Below are 16160 nucleotides of genomic sequence, written 5' to 3'. Positions count from 1 at the left end.
CCGCACCTCCACACCCGCGCGATAGGAGGCCTGACTGGGAGCTCCCTTGCGTGGATCAGGAAGGTGAGGCGCGGCTAGGGGTCGCAGGGTCTGATTCCTCAGGGCTCGATGCAAGGCTAGGGCCTGGGCTGAGACATCTGCTCCTCCGCATGCAATGCGCAGCGAAGACAAGACGCCCATTTCTCCCAGCGCAGGGGGCGAGATGGGAGCTATGATACCATTTTACAGGCCGGAAAACCGAAGCTTGGCTTCCACTCGGGTAGGTAAGGGGTGGGGAGCAGAGGCTTGGCTGAGTGCAGGAGGCTGAAGGGAGGGATGCGACCGAGGACCCGCGGCGGCCTTTGCTGTCTGGGCTGCACCTCAGCCCTGCCCCAAGGGAGTCCAGTGTGCTGAGACTCGCCCCCCACCCCAGTCTTCGTAGTTGTGGGTGAAGCAAACCCTAATTCCAGAAGTTTTTTTCCCTAGCGCAGGTAGGCTGCCGCTGGAGAATTGTGGCCGCCCATCTGTCTGCCCAGTTCCGCCTCCCCTGCACACACGTGGCTCCCTCAGGGGAGCCTTCAGACAGGCACCCTCACGCCCACCCAGCAGGACCCCCTTCCCCTCCTATCCATAAAGGCACAGCACCTCCCCACTGCTCAGAATTCTGAGCACCGCTGGGTTGCCGCGCACCCTCCTTTACCTCCCGTGCGTCCCTGGTGGGCAGACAGTATACCAGGATCTTTGGGCTGGGCTGTGTTTCCCAGGCAAGTTGCGCCCCCAGCATTGGTCCCAGGCTACTTGGGGCAAATATACACACAGAAGGGACCGGCCGGAGGTTCGAGGTGCACGGGGGACTCCTCCTCTAGGCCTCAGAGTATGGAGAGAGCAGAATCGGGCTCCGCCGCGCACCGTGCAAAGGGAAGCACTGAGGAGCCGGGCTTTACTTGACCCTGCTAATTCGTTTTAGGATGGACCGCCTGGAGTTGCTTACAGCGCCCTATTTGGACGCGGCCTCGGGGTCTCGGGGAAGGCCCGCCGCCAGGAGCTGCCCTCACCGTCCTCCCTCCCGCCATCAGCAGCTCAGCCCCGGGCCCCAGAGAAGGGCGGGCGGCTGGGGGCCCAAACCTCGCCGGAACCCGGACAGGACCGCGCGCCCAGGAGCTCTGCCCTCTCCTCCCCTCTCCACTCCCACCTCTTGACTCCCAGCCCTCGGGGGCGGGCGCCAACACAGCAGCCTCGGGCGCTCCCCAATCGTCCCTCCATCCCACGAAAGTGCTTGGCCCACAGCACCGGCGAACGCGACATTCCGGGCGACCCTCGTGGCCGTGGACGAGCCGAGACCCCGAGCCTGGGAGGCGGGCGGGTGGGGCCGCGTGCCGGGGCTGCCCGCGGGGCCGCTGAGTTGTGGCCTCTGCCCCTTCGTCGGACCCCAGCCGCCAAGCCGAGAGAAGAACCGCGGGCGGGGGTGGCGGGGGAGGAGCGGGAGCGGGAGCCGGCACGGGAGCGAGCTGGGATCTGCATCAAAGCCGGGTCGGACATTAGGTCCTGCATGCGGAGGCGTTGACGGGAGTGCTGTCTCCCTCTGTGCATAGGCAGTGGGTTTGCAGCCTCTGGGGCGGGTGCTGAGTTAGAACTGGGGGCTGGGGACTCCTGGAGTGGAGGGACCCAAGCCAGAGCCAGAACAGGGGCCAGGTCCGCCTCCAGGGAGGGCTGGAGACAGAAGCGGTCTACTTCCCTGCCTGCCAGGGCAGGGCGCATTTGGGTCCACCGCCGGATCTCCTGTGCCACCGCAAACACTGCCTGCGATGAAGAAGGAGGCCGTTCCTGTTACCCAGCCTGGGGTCTCAATGGGAGTCCTCCCCAACCTGTGGCTCAGGTGGTCCCACTGCTCCTTGACCTTGCCCTCCCTGGACCTCTCTCCTCCCTGGCGCCCGCCTCCTGACACGGAAGTCCTCACCAAGCCCACCCCCACGTGTTCTCCTTGGTGTTGGGCCTTTACTCAAACTGCTGGGGTCGTGGGTACTCTGGCTGGTTCCAAGCTCTGGGGGGTGTGTCAGACAGCAGGCAGGAACCCTGCCCAGGAGCTCCAGGCCCACAGCCACGTTCCCAGGAAGGGGCCCAGGGCTTGGAGGAGGTGTCCCTGTGAGTCTGGTCAGGACCAGGCTGACCACATAGCTGGCAAAGGCCTGGGAGTTAGACACAGCCTGGTGTGCACACCTTGTGGCTGGGAGGACACTGGACAGGATGACAGGAGGTGTGGCCCCCTCACCCGGCCCAGAGCATCCCCTGGGACTCTTCCTAGGCCCCAGCACCATCTGCTCCCTGGTCCCAGGGCAGGGTCTGACCCGCCTGAGAGTCCTAGTGCCTGGACCCTGGGGGACAAAAGACTGCAGGATTGACAAAGAGAACAGCGAGACCCTGAGAGAGGCAGACATGGGATGGGGTAATGGGTGGAGAGAAGACTGGACAGGGAAGCACACAGCCGTGTGACACCAGCCTCCTCCCAGCCGGGAGGGGGCCGGCCAGGGTCTGCACAGCCAGCCGCATACAGCTGGTCCCCAACCTCCTGTCACCCGGCCTAGCTGTCCCCCGCAACTATGGGTGCGATGTTCTGGGCCAAGTTCCCAGGAGGACAGATGTGGGGAGATGATGAGAGGGATGGCTGGCCGGATGGGTAATGGCACCCTCTGCCCCCCGACCTCGCCAGGCACCAGGACTCCCTGCAGACTGGAAGTTCCCACAACTCCAGAACAAACAAACAAACAGACAGACTGATGGACAGCCCAGCCCTGGACCCCTCTCCAATTTCTGAGGCTGTTGATTTAGCTGCCCACTTGGTGGGAGGACCCAGCCACATGGGGAGCTGGCTGTCCATCTGTCTGTCCATCTCCTGGCCACACTAGCCCCTCCACCCCAGGTGCAGCCAGGCAGAGGTGAGGCTCTGAGACCCTGGAAGACCTATGTGCAGGCTGGTGAGGTGGCTGGATCTCAGCCTGGCGGGCCAGCTGAGGAACCAGTCCCTGCTAGCCCCCTTCCCTTCTGTGGCCCCAGCAGGGGGAGCCACACTTGCCAGGGGAAGGGACTTGTCCCAAAAGACCCTGGAGGAGTGTTGGCTGAGGGTGAGTGGCCAGAAGATGGACACGTGCAGACAGGCCCCTCCAGTTCCTCTGGGCAGCAGGGAACCCTGACTGGACAGTAGCTCCCATTTGCCCATGTTCAAGCACCCACACCACCACGTGCACACATACTCATGAGCATGAGCATGAGTGTATGTGTGTGTTCACACCATGTTCATACTCAGGCACACATACATGGGAGTGTGGGCACATATGCCTACACATGTGAGCATACCAATATTGTGACCATGGGCACATGTGTCCACATGCACATATCAGACACACAGACGTGAGCATGGGCACACACAGGCACACTGCATGCAGACACACGGACTGGGCCCAGACGCACACATGCACACTGTATGCCTGCAGACACGCAAGCATGGGCACTCTACATGTACACAGACGTGAGCACGGGCATGCATGCACCTCTGTACATAGACACACGTGAGCATGGGCACACACATGCACATAGCAGACACCAACACAGACACCAGTGTGAGAGAGTGTGCACACACAGCACATGTAGCAGATATACATACAGGCGCACACATGTGCAGGCTTATCACTCACAGTGGCCACTGTAACCCTTCTACAATAATGACGATGCTCACATGTGCCTTGGATTGACTTGACTTGGGCGAAGCACTGTGGAAGCTTGCTGCTGTGTGAGGAAGGAAGAATGCAATATTTCAGTCCTCTCCTGCTGGGTCATTTCTGAAGGGGATGCACTCGGATGATGGCATCCGACTGGCCAGCCTGCTTCCTTGGACATTGGTACTGGAAGAGACTCTCAAGACAAGATCGGTCTACAGAGAACCTTCTGGGTGGAACTCCTTGGGAGGCCACTTTCCATGCTCAGACCCCAACCCTGAATCTTGCTTGGTGGCGAATGAGCCCTGGGAAGCTCTGAGAAGGAAGGCTCTGGGGACAGGGCCAGAGGCAATGAGGAATGACAACTAAGCCAGTGACCTCAGCACCTTTGTTAATGGGTCCTAACGAGGCCATGCCCCCGTAAACATTGGATATGTTGTATCTCTCTTTAAAGATGCTTAAAGCATTTAAAGTAGTCAAATATATCACACTTGCAGTTTTCATTAAATGCTCAATTGATTCAAGTAGTCCATACTGTCACTGTGACAGCCCAGTGTGACTGCTGGGAGAGACTGTGTGGAAATCCTGTCTCAGTGGAGGGGAGGACTGGCCCCACACCCTGTGCCTCTCGGTCCACTCTGCTCCCTGGCCAAGCCCCCAAGGCTGCTGGATTGTCCCTCCTAGGCCAGGACTGTGCCCAGGTGCCCAGGCTGGCATTTGAGCCTCCCTGCCCACTGCTCTGGGCAGACCCTGCTCATATCTCCCCCTGTGCTTGTGGGGGCTGACCTGAGGCGCCCTCACTGACCTGGGGCCAAAGGCAGGTGGGCTGCCCAGGCTGGGGCAGGTTTTGGGGAGTGTCCCTGATGGGCAAGGCTCTAGCACGGGAACCCCTTTGCTGAGACCTGTGGAGGATCCCCAAGCCCGTGGGCAGAGGGGGACCGGGGCCTGGAGAGATTAGTTGCACAGGCAGCTTTCCCTGGTCGGGGTGGCGATGCAGGGCTGGGGGCTGCCAACTCTGTCTGGTCTCCCGCCTTCCCAGGGGAAGGAGCTGGTGAGAAGGCTGGCAATATTTCATTTCAAAGGAGAACAGGACTGCTTCGGCAGGACCCCTGTACTCTGGGCCCTTCTGCACAGGGAGGAACCAGCGTGGTGATGTCGCCCAGTCTCAGGAGCTGGGTCCAGGAGCGAGCTTCACCCTTCAGGGCTCTGTGTCTGGGAACACGCCCTGGCCTCTGCAAGCCTCAGTGATGCTATCTGAGAAGTGGGGAGAATGCTGCAGGCCCCATGGGTGGATGGAGCCAGCACATGTGGGCCCTCAATTGCAGCTCCCCAGCTGATGTCACTATTGTTGCTGCAGGGCCTCCTTGGGCCCCTCCCAGCCCCGCAGGTCCTCCCAGCACTGTGAGTAGGGTGGCTGTTGCCTCCATAGCCCCTGTGGAGCCTCCAGGCCTGGCGTGAGGTTTGGGGAGGGGGAATCACAGCTGGACCCCCCAGGAGGCCCAGTTAGGCACCCTCTCCCGGCTTCCCCACTGGGTCCCTGTGCCCAGATTCAGCCTTGGTTTCCCCACATCCACAAGCCTGCCCCAGCCCCACCCCAGACCTGACAAATCCCTTCCCTCCTCCAAGGCTCTGCTGAACCAGGTTGGAATTTCTCAAAAGCAAACAAACAGGCAAGCTCGGAGCTGCGGTTTTCAGAGCTCAGATTCCTCATGAGTCTGTCTGAGCCAGCATCAGGCCAGGCCGGCTGCCCCACGGCAGGCTGGATGGAGTGGGGGTCCTCAGCTGAGCACCCCTGGCCCACTGGCTGCTGGAACTGAGCAGGGACCAGGCTCAGAGCCTACAGTCCCAGACAGCACCTGGCTGGCCCGGTTCCCTCCTGAGACCCAGCAAGAATGGCAGGAGGCTGAAGCCAGTGCTGAATTTGGGTCTGGAGTGGCCGGGTGGGAGGTGGACGGGATCCATTGCCGTGGCTGGTGACGATGCCTGTATCTATGCAGGGCTGGGGGACATAAAGGGTGAGGATTGGAGGGACTGGAGGCTCAGGGTGGGGGTTAGGCCAGGGTATGGGCTGAGGAGAAGTGACCCGAGGTGGCCATCAGAGCGGGTGGGGACATCCTCAGGCCCATGGCAGGGCAGGGCAGGGCAGGGCGTGGAGGCTGCCGTGGAGGAACGTGGGGATGGGAGAGGAGGGCCGGGGCCGGGAGGGCACCTCAAGGGGCCGACAGGGTTAGGAGGGAGGGCTGGGGAGAGGGGAGGGGTGGGAGGGGTTCTCGCCAGGTGGTCTTAATCTCCTCAGTGAAATAGGAGTCCTGGGGGGTGGGCGGGGGAGGTGGGAGCTGGAGACAGCTGCGGGAGGGGGCCGGGCCTGACAGCCTGAGGCCACCAGGAACCCCTGCCTACCGGGCCGACGAGTGTCCGAGTGTCTGTGGGCTGAGACTCAGAGCCGGTTCTTCCACCCACCCCTTTTCGCTTGGCCTCATCTGCCTTTACTGAGATGATTTTGGTCACCCGGAGGGGCTGGCATATGTCTGTGGGGGTGTCGTCTGGGCCCTTCCTGCTCTCTTAGCTGCCTGAGTGACTGGGCAGGGCAGGGCCTGGGCCACTGACACCCCCTCACTTGGGTCCCCACTAAGCTGTTGTCTGCTCTGAGGTAATGCCAATGGGGCTAGGGGGTGCAGGGGGGAGGGAGGAGGCCTTGGCCATCCCTGTACACCTCAGCTTCCCCTGCCAGCCCAGCTCAGGGAACAGAGGGACAGAGCGGGGGGTGGCGTGGGTCCAGGACACATGTGGCTCCTGTGTGGACGTCCTGGGAGACGGGAGGGGGCATGGGCAGTGTGGAGGCGCGGGCTGCCCTGTCCTGCTAAGTGGGTGCTTGGCACCAGCTGTTCTGGGTGGACAGATGGATGTGAGCTTTTACCAGTGCCCTAAAGTCAATCCAGCCCCTCCCTCCAGCGTGTTTGCCAGGACCGAGTGACCCAGCAGCCACCCCATCCTGGGCGGGGGTGTGGACGGGTGTCGGGCTGTCTCAGTCTTCACCAGGAACTGCCAGGCCCTGGGGCTGGTCTGAGTGTCCAATGTACCCACTGCAGTGGAGGTCCCAGCCTGGAGAAACGGAGGCAGTACCCCTGACACAGCTGGCCTGGAACAGGTGGGGCAGGAGCACCTGGGCCATCCCTGGATCCTCTAGGCTGGCTTGGCTCTCCTGTGGACCCCATGACCAGGGCCCCTCTCTGCAGTGCCCACCCACACCCCCATGTGGCTCCCATGTAGACAGAGCCCCTGGCCACCTGTCCCCTCCCTCCCGGCCCTGTGCCCTGTCCCCACCACCACATAAGCCAGCCTTCTCCCCTTGCACCTGCTGAGCCCTGCACCCTGCTGATTCTCTCTGTTCCTTGGGGCTGTCAGGGTGGCACTCGCCCCAGGGCATTTGCTGTTGTGTCATTGTTCCCCCTGGGTCAGGCTCAGGGTCACCAGGGCTTCGGGGGCCAGGGAAGATAACCCCCGAGGCGACCAGCCGGCCTGTCTCCCTGTGTAGAGCAGCAGAGAGCAACAAGGCACAACCAAGACGTGCATGGTCTCAGATGTCACCGAGGGGGTGGCACATGAATCCCGCTAAGCCAGCCCTCGTGAGCTGGAGGCTGGGCAGAGGCACGGCAGCCCTGGCTCAAGGAACAGGCTGGGCTTGGGGGTCTCTGGACACAGGGCCGTCAGCCCTGCACTGGTGGGACTGGTTCACTAGCCTCCCAACTCCAGAACCCTTCAACTGAGTGTTCACGAGAGTTCCCTCATGTGGCCTCAATGTCACTAACCCCCGAGCTCCTCCTATCCATCTCTGCACATTCAAGACACAATGAGTCTTAGTCACGCCCACACTTAGAGTGAATTTTTGCAATTAAGTTCTTTCCTTAAAGTCTGCTACAACCAGCCAGAGTCTTAACTCAGGACAGAGTATGTTTCAGTCTAGGGAGATAAAATAGGGCGATACCCTGCAAACATCTGCAGGGCTGTGCAGGGTCAGAGGAAGCAGCCCAGGTCTAAGGGAAGAAATTTCGGGAAGGAAGTCACTGCTCCTAAATGAAAAAGAGCTATGCAACATCAGAGCTGCCTGGGAGGTAAGCAAACACAGTGCCCCAGGGAGAGCAAAGCGACCCTTCTCCCCTGAGGGTGGTGGGACACTGGGCTGCAGGGATGGAAATTGAAGGGCTTTTTTCTGACTCCAGAATTGGGTGTCTGGCTTTGCTTCCTAGGGATGGAGGTGCCTTCGGACTCTCAGTGTCTCCGCCCCAGCCTCAGTGCTGCACTTTGGAGCTTGCTTGCCTCCTCCACAGCCCTCCTTGCTAGCCCAGGACCAGGGGAGTGTGGGGTGACTGTGTTCTGGATCAGGGACCAGGGCAGAGGTCTGAGGCTGCAGTGGTAAAAGAAATATCCCAGTTTGACTCCCCGGAGCCTTGTAGGTGTTGTGAGAAGTGATAAAATGATTGTAGAGTCCCTAGCATGGTGTCAGCAAATTATACCTGCCATGTATCCCTTTACACACATATACGCACACCTCTACATCATATCTGCAAATTCTACCATGAGGATGCAGTGAGGGTCATTGTGCAGGTGCTGAGGACACAGTCCCGGGGTCTGGACACCAGCCTCTTGGTACAGGATGTCTCCCCCTTCATTCTACACGTGCTACCTTTTTTAATGTGGCCCCAACTGTCCCCTGCTCTGATCTTAAGGCTGGAAGTCTCCAAATCGGTGCCCAGGCCCTTTCAGACCTCCTGACAGCCCCCACCCCAACCCCAATCAACAGTTGGCCTATGGCCTGGACCTAGCTCCAGAGCCTCCCCCCATGGTTTATAAGAACAGCCAGCATCAAGCATCTTGGATTTCAGATAGGGGGACCCCCCACCTGGTGGCAGCTGACACCTGAGCCCACCCTACCCAGTGGCAAGGGGCAGGGGTGAGTGACCCAGCTGGAGAGAGCTGCCATGGGAACAGTCAGAAAATCCCAGTGTCACTCACCCTGATGCCAGAGGGGAGACTGAGGCACAGAACAGGGCAAGGCTGTGGGCATCTATGCAGGGCCGGGATGAGCCAGGGTCCTGCCACATCCCTGTCCCCGGTGCCCTGCCCACCCCTGCTGTCCACCCGCCCGCCCAGGCAGAAAATGGCCATTTCCTCCAGCCCCCGCCCCAGGGAGTGACACGGAGCTGGCAAAACAAACAGGCCATTCCTCCTGTGGCCGCTGGCTGGTGATGGATGGCCAGAGGGGCTGGCTGTGCTGATGGACGACCGCCCATCATGTGTGGGCCGGGGGTGGGGCCTGTCCAGGCCTCGGCCCAGGCACGGACACAGACTCCTCATCCCACTCTGAGACACTCCCACAGTGGGGACCCATAGGGACTGAGGCCCAGCACATCAATGCCTGGAGCCTCCAGCTCCCACTGGTTCCATGAGTTGTCCAGGTCCCCACTGCAGGTAGGGATGTGCCAGGATGACAGCATCTGTGAGGATGGGGTCTCCCGGGCACCTCCTCAGCTCCTGCCAGTTGCCAAGGGCAAGAGCCCCCTCCTCACACCTCTGCAGCCTGGGTTGACTGGGCTGCGGTCCCCTGAAGCATGGGGCTGGGGACCTCCATGGCCCAGGCCCCCCAGCAGGGCTCACGCAGGCTGGGTTGGGTCTGGGCTTCTTCTGTGGAGAGGTGTACCGGCAGGACTGATGGGGCACCAGATCTGGGGGCCTGGTCCTGGCTGTGGAGAAAAGGCCTTGGAGGGGCAGGGTCTCTGAGCTCCAGTGGGGTTGGGTGGGCATGCAGGAGGGCCAGGGCATGAACAGAAATGGGTCAGGGGCTGAGGGCTGGGGGTGTCTGACAGGACCCGGCCCACATGGCAGTGGCCTTAGAAGGCCCCAGGGTTCTCTGTCCTGGTCAGCCTGTCTGGTCAGGCCCGGGATTGTCACCTCACTGGAGAGATGGGCAAGCCGAGGCTGGAGAGAGGTCTGACTGAAGGGAACACAGGCCCAGGCTGAGATGGCCCCTGCTGTGCGCCCTGAGCTCTGCTACACCTGTCCACCGGCCCCCACAGCTGCCCATACCTCCAGACCAGGCTGATTCAGAGCCTTCCGGTCCTGATGCTGGCCACCTGCGGGGGCTGAAGGACAACCAGCTCCCCAACCTGAGGCCTGCTGCAGCACGGGCCACCCAGCAGCTGGCTGGCCGAAGAGGAAGGGGCAGCTGCGGCCAGGCCTCTGACCCTCCGGCTCGTCTGGCCGAGAGGAAGCTTCCGAGACCCCCACTTCCTGGACCTCTGAGTGGGCTGAGGCCCCACTTCCGCCGAGAGCCCTGAGCCCTGCTGTCAGCCTCTCCAATCCCAGTCCTGAAGCCCCACAACCCCCCAGCTACGTGTTTCCTGCTGCATGGGGTGGTGGTCGAGGGGGCGGTGACCAGGACACTCACCCAGATCTGGGGTCGGCAGGAAGCCCCATTGAATAGGGTGGGTGAGGACTGAGCTGATTGACCTCCCCTGGGGATGGGGCTGCCCACGGAGCCGGGTGATGACCTCTGCTAGGAGGGCCCATCAGATCCAGGCTAACCCGCTGGTCCAAGGCCAGCCCTGCAGGATTGTAGCCAAAAGGGAGCTTCGATGCAGCCATTCAGCTTCCTGGGGTGGGCTGGGGATGGCCCAGGCCCGCGGGCCCCATGGAGATGGGCGGTGGAGCAGCAGCTGGTACCCAAGCGGAACCTATATGAAGGAGGCTCTGTGGCGCTGGGGAAGGCTGGGCATGGGGGCAGGGCAGGTCGTGCCTCCCTCTGACCAGGGTTGTGGGGCAAGGGAAGTGGGGCTCCAGGGGGAGGTTCTCAGGTCCTGGGGTCCAGGAGGTTGCGACTGTGCCTCCCAGGCTGGTTGAGGCCGAGACACCTCTGCCTCTCCATGCTGTAGGGACAGGAAATCTGGGATCTGGCCCAGGCTGGCAGACTGGGGGCAGAACCAAGGCCCATGCGGGGCAGGAAGTGGCCCTAGACTCCAGCGGGGGTGGGGTGGCCTCCCAGGAGCCATTTCCTCCCTGGAAACATCCTGCCTGGGCAGCAGGAGGGAAAAGAGGGATCCAGCCCCGGCTGGGCAGGAAGGGCCTGGGGCTCAGCATCCCCTCGGGCAGGGCTCTGGGAGCTCCCAGGAGGGAATGACCTCATGGCACGTCTGAGCCTCCGGAGCTGAAAGGCTGGGCTGGGCCTCCCGCCAGCCCCCCACCCAACCTGAGCTCCCGGGCCTGTCCCCTTGTGCTGGCCTCCCTAGAGTTTCTGGTGCCATCAGCCCCCATCGTCCCGAGGCCAGGAGCTCAAAGCCAGACTAGCTTGTTTCCCATATGAAGCATGGCCGGCCCGCGCCTCCCAGCCTGCACATGGCCGATGGATGAGAGGACAAGGCCTGGAGGGAGGGGCCCTGCAGGCAGTGAGCAACCCACGGCGTCAGCCCAGCTGCCCCTGCTTGGGCATGGTGGGGGTCAGAGGCCCAGCTCCCACCCCTGTGGCCTAAATATAACCTGAGCAGGCGCCTGGCTGGGAATAGAGACCTCTGTCAGCTCCCAGCAGGTGCTAGTGGGAAGAAGGTCAGCATGATTGGCAGGGGTGCCAGTGAGCAAGCGGCCAGACTTGGGTCATGTGAGTGTCCAGTGGCACGGTCTGAGGGTGGGGTGGTGTGTCCTCACAGGACAGCTGGGTGCCCAGCCTCCCCTGCTCGAGGCAGCCCTGGCCCCTGCCGTTGCCTGTGCCCATAACTGAATGTGCTGCCACGCCCCAGGAAGGGGGGCCAGTCTGGCACTGGCAGCGTGGCTGAGCCCTTGTGCATGGGTCCAAACCTAACCGATGTCCCTGTGTCCCTTGTCCCGGCAGGGCTCTTCTGTCCCCTCCACCCTCAGGCCTCATCTTGCCCTGCATGCTGGTCCTTGTTCCACCCCTCCCGCAAAAACAAACAAACAAACAAACAAACAAAAACCCTCACAAAACTCTTCAACTAGCCCAGCTGATGGCACTTGATCCAGTGTTCTCCGGAGTCCCCTCTGGCCCTCAGCTCCTGTCCCGGCCTCTAGCTCCCCAACTGACCTCCAGGTGAGGCCCCCTTGAGCCCCACATCACTGGGCCCAGGGCTGCGAGAACAGCAGGTGGGCTGGCCCCGGGGGGAGTCCCTGCCCCCTCCCTCCTTCAGCTGCCCTCCCCAGCCTCTCAGGTGGCATCCTGGGCCTCAGGTCCCCTGGCCTGTTTGGGAGCCCATGTCACATCCCTCTGCCAGCCACCCTTGTGCATGGTTCTCACCAGCTGGCCCTGCTGCCGTCGCCCTAAAGCACAGCCTTCTCTCCCTGTCCTTTCTGCCGAGTGGAAGTGTCATGCTAAGAATCTGCGAATACACTGGAAAATACCAAGCAGACCCGGGAGAGATGGACCCTCCCCGGTTTCCAGTGGTGACCCTGTGCAAGGGTCCTGGGGCAAGAACAGCGACTCCTGGGGAGGAGAGACCTGTGTGAGGCACTGCAGGCTGCAGTGGTCGGCCTGACCCTTAGAGAGGGAATGGGGAGGGCTGGTGGAGGGGAAGGTGAAGGGCAATGAGCCTGAGGCACCCAGCCACCCCTGGACCCCACTGAGGTGTGTGCTGATTGAATAAGCAGGTGTTTGTCCGGCCCCTATGACGTGCGCACCACTGTGCCCACTGTGAAACATGTCACCATCTCAGGGGACAGAATTCCAGAGCCTTAGGCTCTGGAGTCTTGGGTCCAGGGACTCTGAACAGAACCTTGGGGAATCAGTCCTACCCGGCCAGCCTGCCGTGGCTGCTGGCACCATTTGCACACCCCTAGTGATGAGAAGCCCACTCCCCAGAAGCAGCCTGTGGCATCTGGGGCAGCTGGCATGGCAGTGCTCACTTTGCAGGCTGGTGGGTGGAAATCCCCCTCCACTGAGGGATGCACAGGGCCAACGTGGGGTGCCTGGTAGGACAGGCCTTGAACTCAGGGTTGGATGGGCCTATCACTCCTGCCCTGGCTCTCAGGGCTCTGCCGGGGCAGAACCCCAGCTCCAAGGCCCTGCCCACACTGGTCCACTAGACATGGGAGTCTGCACCGTGGGCTTGTTTGCTCTCCGTCTAGTTTTTCTGGTTTGGAGCCTGGGTGCCCAAGCTGGGCCAGGGGGCTGGGGATGGGCAGAGGGGGGCTGTGGGTAGGGGCTGGGCCTAGTGCCAGGTCATCCCTGGGCCTGGCCTCACTGCCACCTCCTGCCCTCGCCTGCCTTTGCTTGTGGACAGGTGGGTGAGCTCCACCCTGGGGTGCTGGGGGACATCTCATGGGCTTCCACAGGCTTTGAGGAGGGGGCCTGGTTTTGAGCCTGTCTGCCTCCAGCCTCTGGCCGGGTCACAGGCCTGGGAGGGGACCCAGGGTACAGCCCCACAGGAGATTCTGCGGTCAGAGGGTCTGGGGGCGAGGATGGGACAGGTTTCCGGTGATCCCTAGCCTTAGTTCTCGGCCGTTGACCTTCCTCAAAGAGGCCTGGGAAGCAAGCTGTGTGTGCCTGGGATGCTGCCTGAGGCTGGGAGGGGGCAGGGACTCCACCCAGACCGCCCCAGTGCCGTGGGCTCAAAAGGACCTCACCTGACAGGTGGGGAACCAGAGCCTGGGACAGGGGTTGAGGGCCAGTGTGGATTGGAGAGGACGCCAGACAGCAGGTGGTGGCCAGCACTCAGGCCCCAGGCACAGGGAGCCTCCACCCACATGGCGGCATCCTGCCCCCCATTCAAATCCTGGCTCCTCCACTTGGTCTGGTGAGGCCCTAACCTCACTCTGCCTCTGGAGGGGACAGATGGGGATCTTGCGGCCTTCCTCCCCACCCTGGCGCCCCATGTTCCACTGACCACCTCTTCTTTCCACCTCAATCCTAACAAAGTGCCTGGATACCCTCTCCTCTCCTCGCCCCCAAATCTGCCATCTGTCATTTCCCGAGACACATGTGGGGAAACTGAGGCCCAAAGGATGAAAGAAAATGCTGAGGGAAAGCAATGGGAGCTTGGGTGGAGCTGTGGACAGGGGTGTTATGGGGCCTTGGAGGCAGCAGTAGGCCCCCTGGGGAGCACTGGTTCCCCAGGCAACCTGGCTTCAGCCACCGCTGGGCACATTTCCCCAGCCCCCACAGCCTGGCAGGAGTCTACCCACAGCGGCAGCCTGGCTTCCAGGCCTAGTGAGAGGCTGGACCAAGGATCTGCGGATGGCATCTGGGCCCCTAAAGTGGGAAGTGGTGCTGCAGAGGCCCAGGGTGGGCACCACCCCTAGCTCTCCTGCCAGCTGCCCTTCCTCTGGGCAGCTCAGGACACCCGGCCTTAACACCCACCCAACATTTACCATCTCCATTTCAGAGCTGGGGAAACTAAGGCGGCGTGACGTCATGTGTCTGTCCTCACAGCGTGAGTCCAAGACTGTCCAGTGAGGTAAGTGGCGGGGCCAAGCCTGGGACTGCCCGAGGCGGGGGCTGGTGGGTTTCCTGGGGGCAATGGACAAGGAATTCCCCGTCAGGGGAGGGTTGCTGAGTGCTTGCGCTGGAGCTAGGAAGTGGGGGGCATTCCTGGGCTCACGATTTAGGCAGGATTCCAGTGGGTTTCAAGGGTGCACAGGAGTCCACCAGGGCAGTAGGACCAGCGAGGAGCAGACCAAAGTCAGGTGGTGACACCCTCCAAGGCCCCATGAGACAGCCAGAGCTTCAGGTGAGCAGACAGTGCCTGGAGGCGGGACATGGCCGAGGTGGACTCACGCTCAGGTCTGCACGAACCCAAACAGCTGGCCAGAGCTCCGTCCCTCCTCCAGACTGAGGCAGGAGGACCTCAGGGGTGGTGAGGAAGGGTCCACACAGCCAGGCCAGCTGTAGGCTCTCTGGAAGCACTGTTCCCACCCTGGCCCTTGGTTTCCCCATCTGTAAAATGTGGACATGGTCCAGAGGAGGCTTGTCAGCTAGTGGGTAGGAGCTTGGCCCAGCCCCACCAGCTGAGAGCAGACAAGGAAGGGCCTTGGTGCCAAGTGCTTGGAGGGCTGGGCTGGATACTGGGCTGGCTGGGTCCTTAGGATGGCCTGTTCTGGGAGAACCTGGAGAACGTCTCTCCCCTACACCCCCACATTCCCAGCTGGGCCCGGATGGCCCTGCCTCCGAAACATTTTTTGGAGATACAGCCTTCATTATTAGGCCTTAATTCCTCACTGCCCAACACGGCCCCTGCCTCCCTGCTCTGCTGTCCCTGACCCAGTCACCCCTCCACTTGTGATGCTCCTGCTCTCAAAGGCCCCCAAGGAGGCTCCCAGAAGGAGGTGGCACCAGTGTGGGGCCTGGAGCCTGGAACTCATGCCCCTGAGCCCAGGCCAGCTTCACTCAGCCTCAGCCGAGTGTCAGACTGCCCTATGGTCCAAGCGATGGGGAGTCCCTTCTATATATAGAGAAAAAAACCCTATCATGGCCAGGTGCCATGGCTCACGCCTATAATCCCAGCACTTTGGGAGGCTGAGGAGGGAGGATCACCTGAGGTCAGGAGTTCGAGACCAACCTGGGTAACATCGCAAGATCCCACCTACAAAATATAAAAAAATAAATTAGCCAGGCACGGTGGTGTGTGTCTGTGGTCCCAGTTACTCAGGAGGCTGAGGTGGGAGGATCCATTGAGCCCAGTGGTTCAAGACTGCAGTGAGCTGTGATTGTGCCACTGCTCTCCAGCCTGGGCGACAGAGCAAGATCCCATCTGCTGCGGTTCCAAGCGCAGGAATCCTGCAACACCCCAGGCAGACATCGCCAGTCAGTCCCAGATCTCCTGTCCTCTCAGATAGGAAGCTTCAGGTGTCAGCTCTGAGCTCCAAGTGGCTCCTGCCAGTGGCTCAAAAGCAGCACCTGTACACGCCCACCCTGCTAGTGGTAAGAAAGGGAGTATCCCTGGGCTCTGGGTCAGGCAAAGCCAGCCCTAGAGGGGTTCAGGGCTCTCAGTGAGCCTCATCTGATGCTGGCAGCCGAGAGAGGGACCAGCAGAGCGGAGAGCCGACAACGGGGCCCCCACCCTCAGGTTTCGGGGAACCTTAAGGTGCCCAAGGGGTTCCAGCCTTGCCCCTGCCTGTCACCAGAAACTGCAGTCCAGGGAGGGGCAGGATTGGTTCAGGGGAGGGGTCCTCTCCTCCTCGCTGGCCCTGCCCCCACAAGGCCCGGGCGGGCGCCGAGGCCCAGCTCGGGCTCCAGAAACATTTGCTTTAAGTCTTAAAATATCAGGTTCCCGCATCATGGGGCTTCCCTCGGGGCCCGCTGGGCAGGCGGGAGGGATTTTAGGAGTAAGAAGAATCCCGCTCTGGCCCCCACCCTGCCAGCAGCTCTGCCTTCCCTTGGCCTCAGCTGAAGCCAGCCAAATGTTTGTGGGGTGGCTGGCTGGGCACCCACTCTCCTGCTTTGGAGGAGCCCCCAGTTGGCCTGTCCTCTTCAGG

The 16160-nt window shown here is 61.7% G+C and overlaps 3 annotated features.

The window, feature by feature from the left end:
- Positions 9102-9602: an enhancer, noted in NCBI's record as "H3K4me1 hESC enhancer chr22:19734624-19735124 (GRCh37/hg19 assembly coordinates)". NCBI's record gives its function as "activates a minimal SCP1, AML or CMV promoter by ChIP-STARR-seq in naive H9 embryonic stem cells {active_cell/tissue: H9 hESC(naive)}" and the evidence as "EXISTENCE:reporter gene assay evidence [ECO:0000049][PMID:30033119]".
- Positions 13056-13629: an enhancer, noted in NCBI's record as "H3K4me1 hESC enhancer chr22:19730597-19731170 (GRCh37/hg19 assembly coordinates)". NCBI's record gives its function as "activates a minimal SCP1, AML or CMV promoter by ChIP-STARR-seq in primed H9 embryonic stem cells {active_cell/tissue: H9 hESC(primed)}" and the evidence as "EXISTENCE:reporter gene assay evidence [ECO:0000049][PMID:30033119]".
- Positions 13630-14205: an enhancer, noted in NCBI's record as "H3K4me1 hESC enhancer chr22:19730021-19730596 (GRCh37/hg19 assembly coordinates)". NCBI's record gives its function as "activates a minimal SCP1, AML or CMV promoter by ChIP-STARR-seq in primed H9 embryonic stem cells {active_cell/tissue: H9 hESC(primed)}" and the evidence as "EXISTENCE:reporter gene assay evidence [ECO:0000049][PMID:30033119]".

The sequence above is a fragment of the Homo sapiens genome, chromosome 22 (genome assembly GCF_000001405.40).
Source record: "Homo sapiens chromosome 22, GRCh38.p14 Primary Assembly".
Taxonomy (NCBI): domain Eukaryota; kingdom Metazoa; phylum Chordata; class Mammalia; order Primates; family Hominidae; genus Homo; species Homo sapiens.
This window is presented reverse-complemented; position numbering and strand designations above follow the sequence as displayed.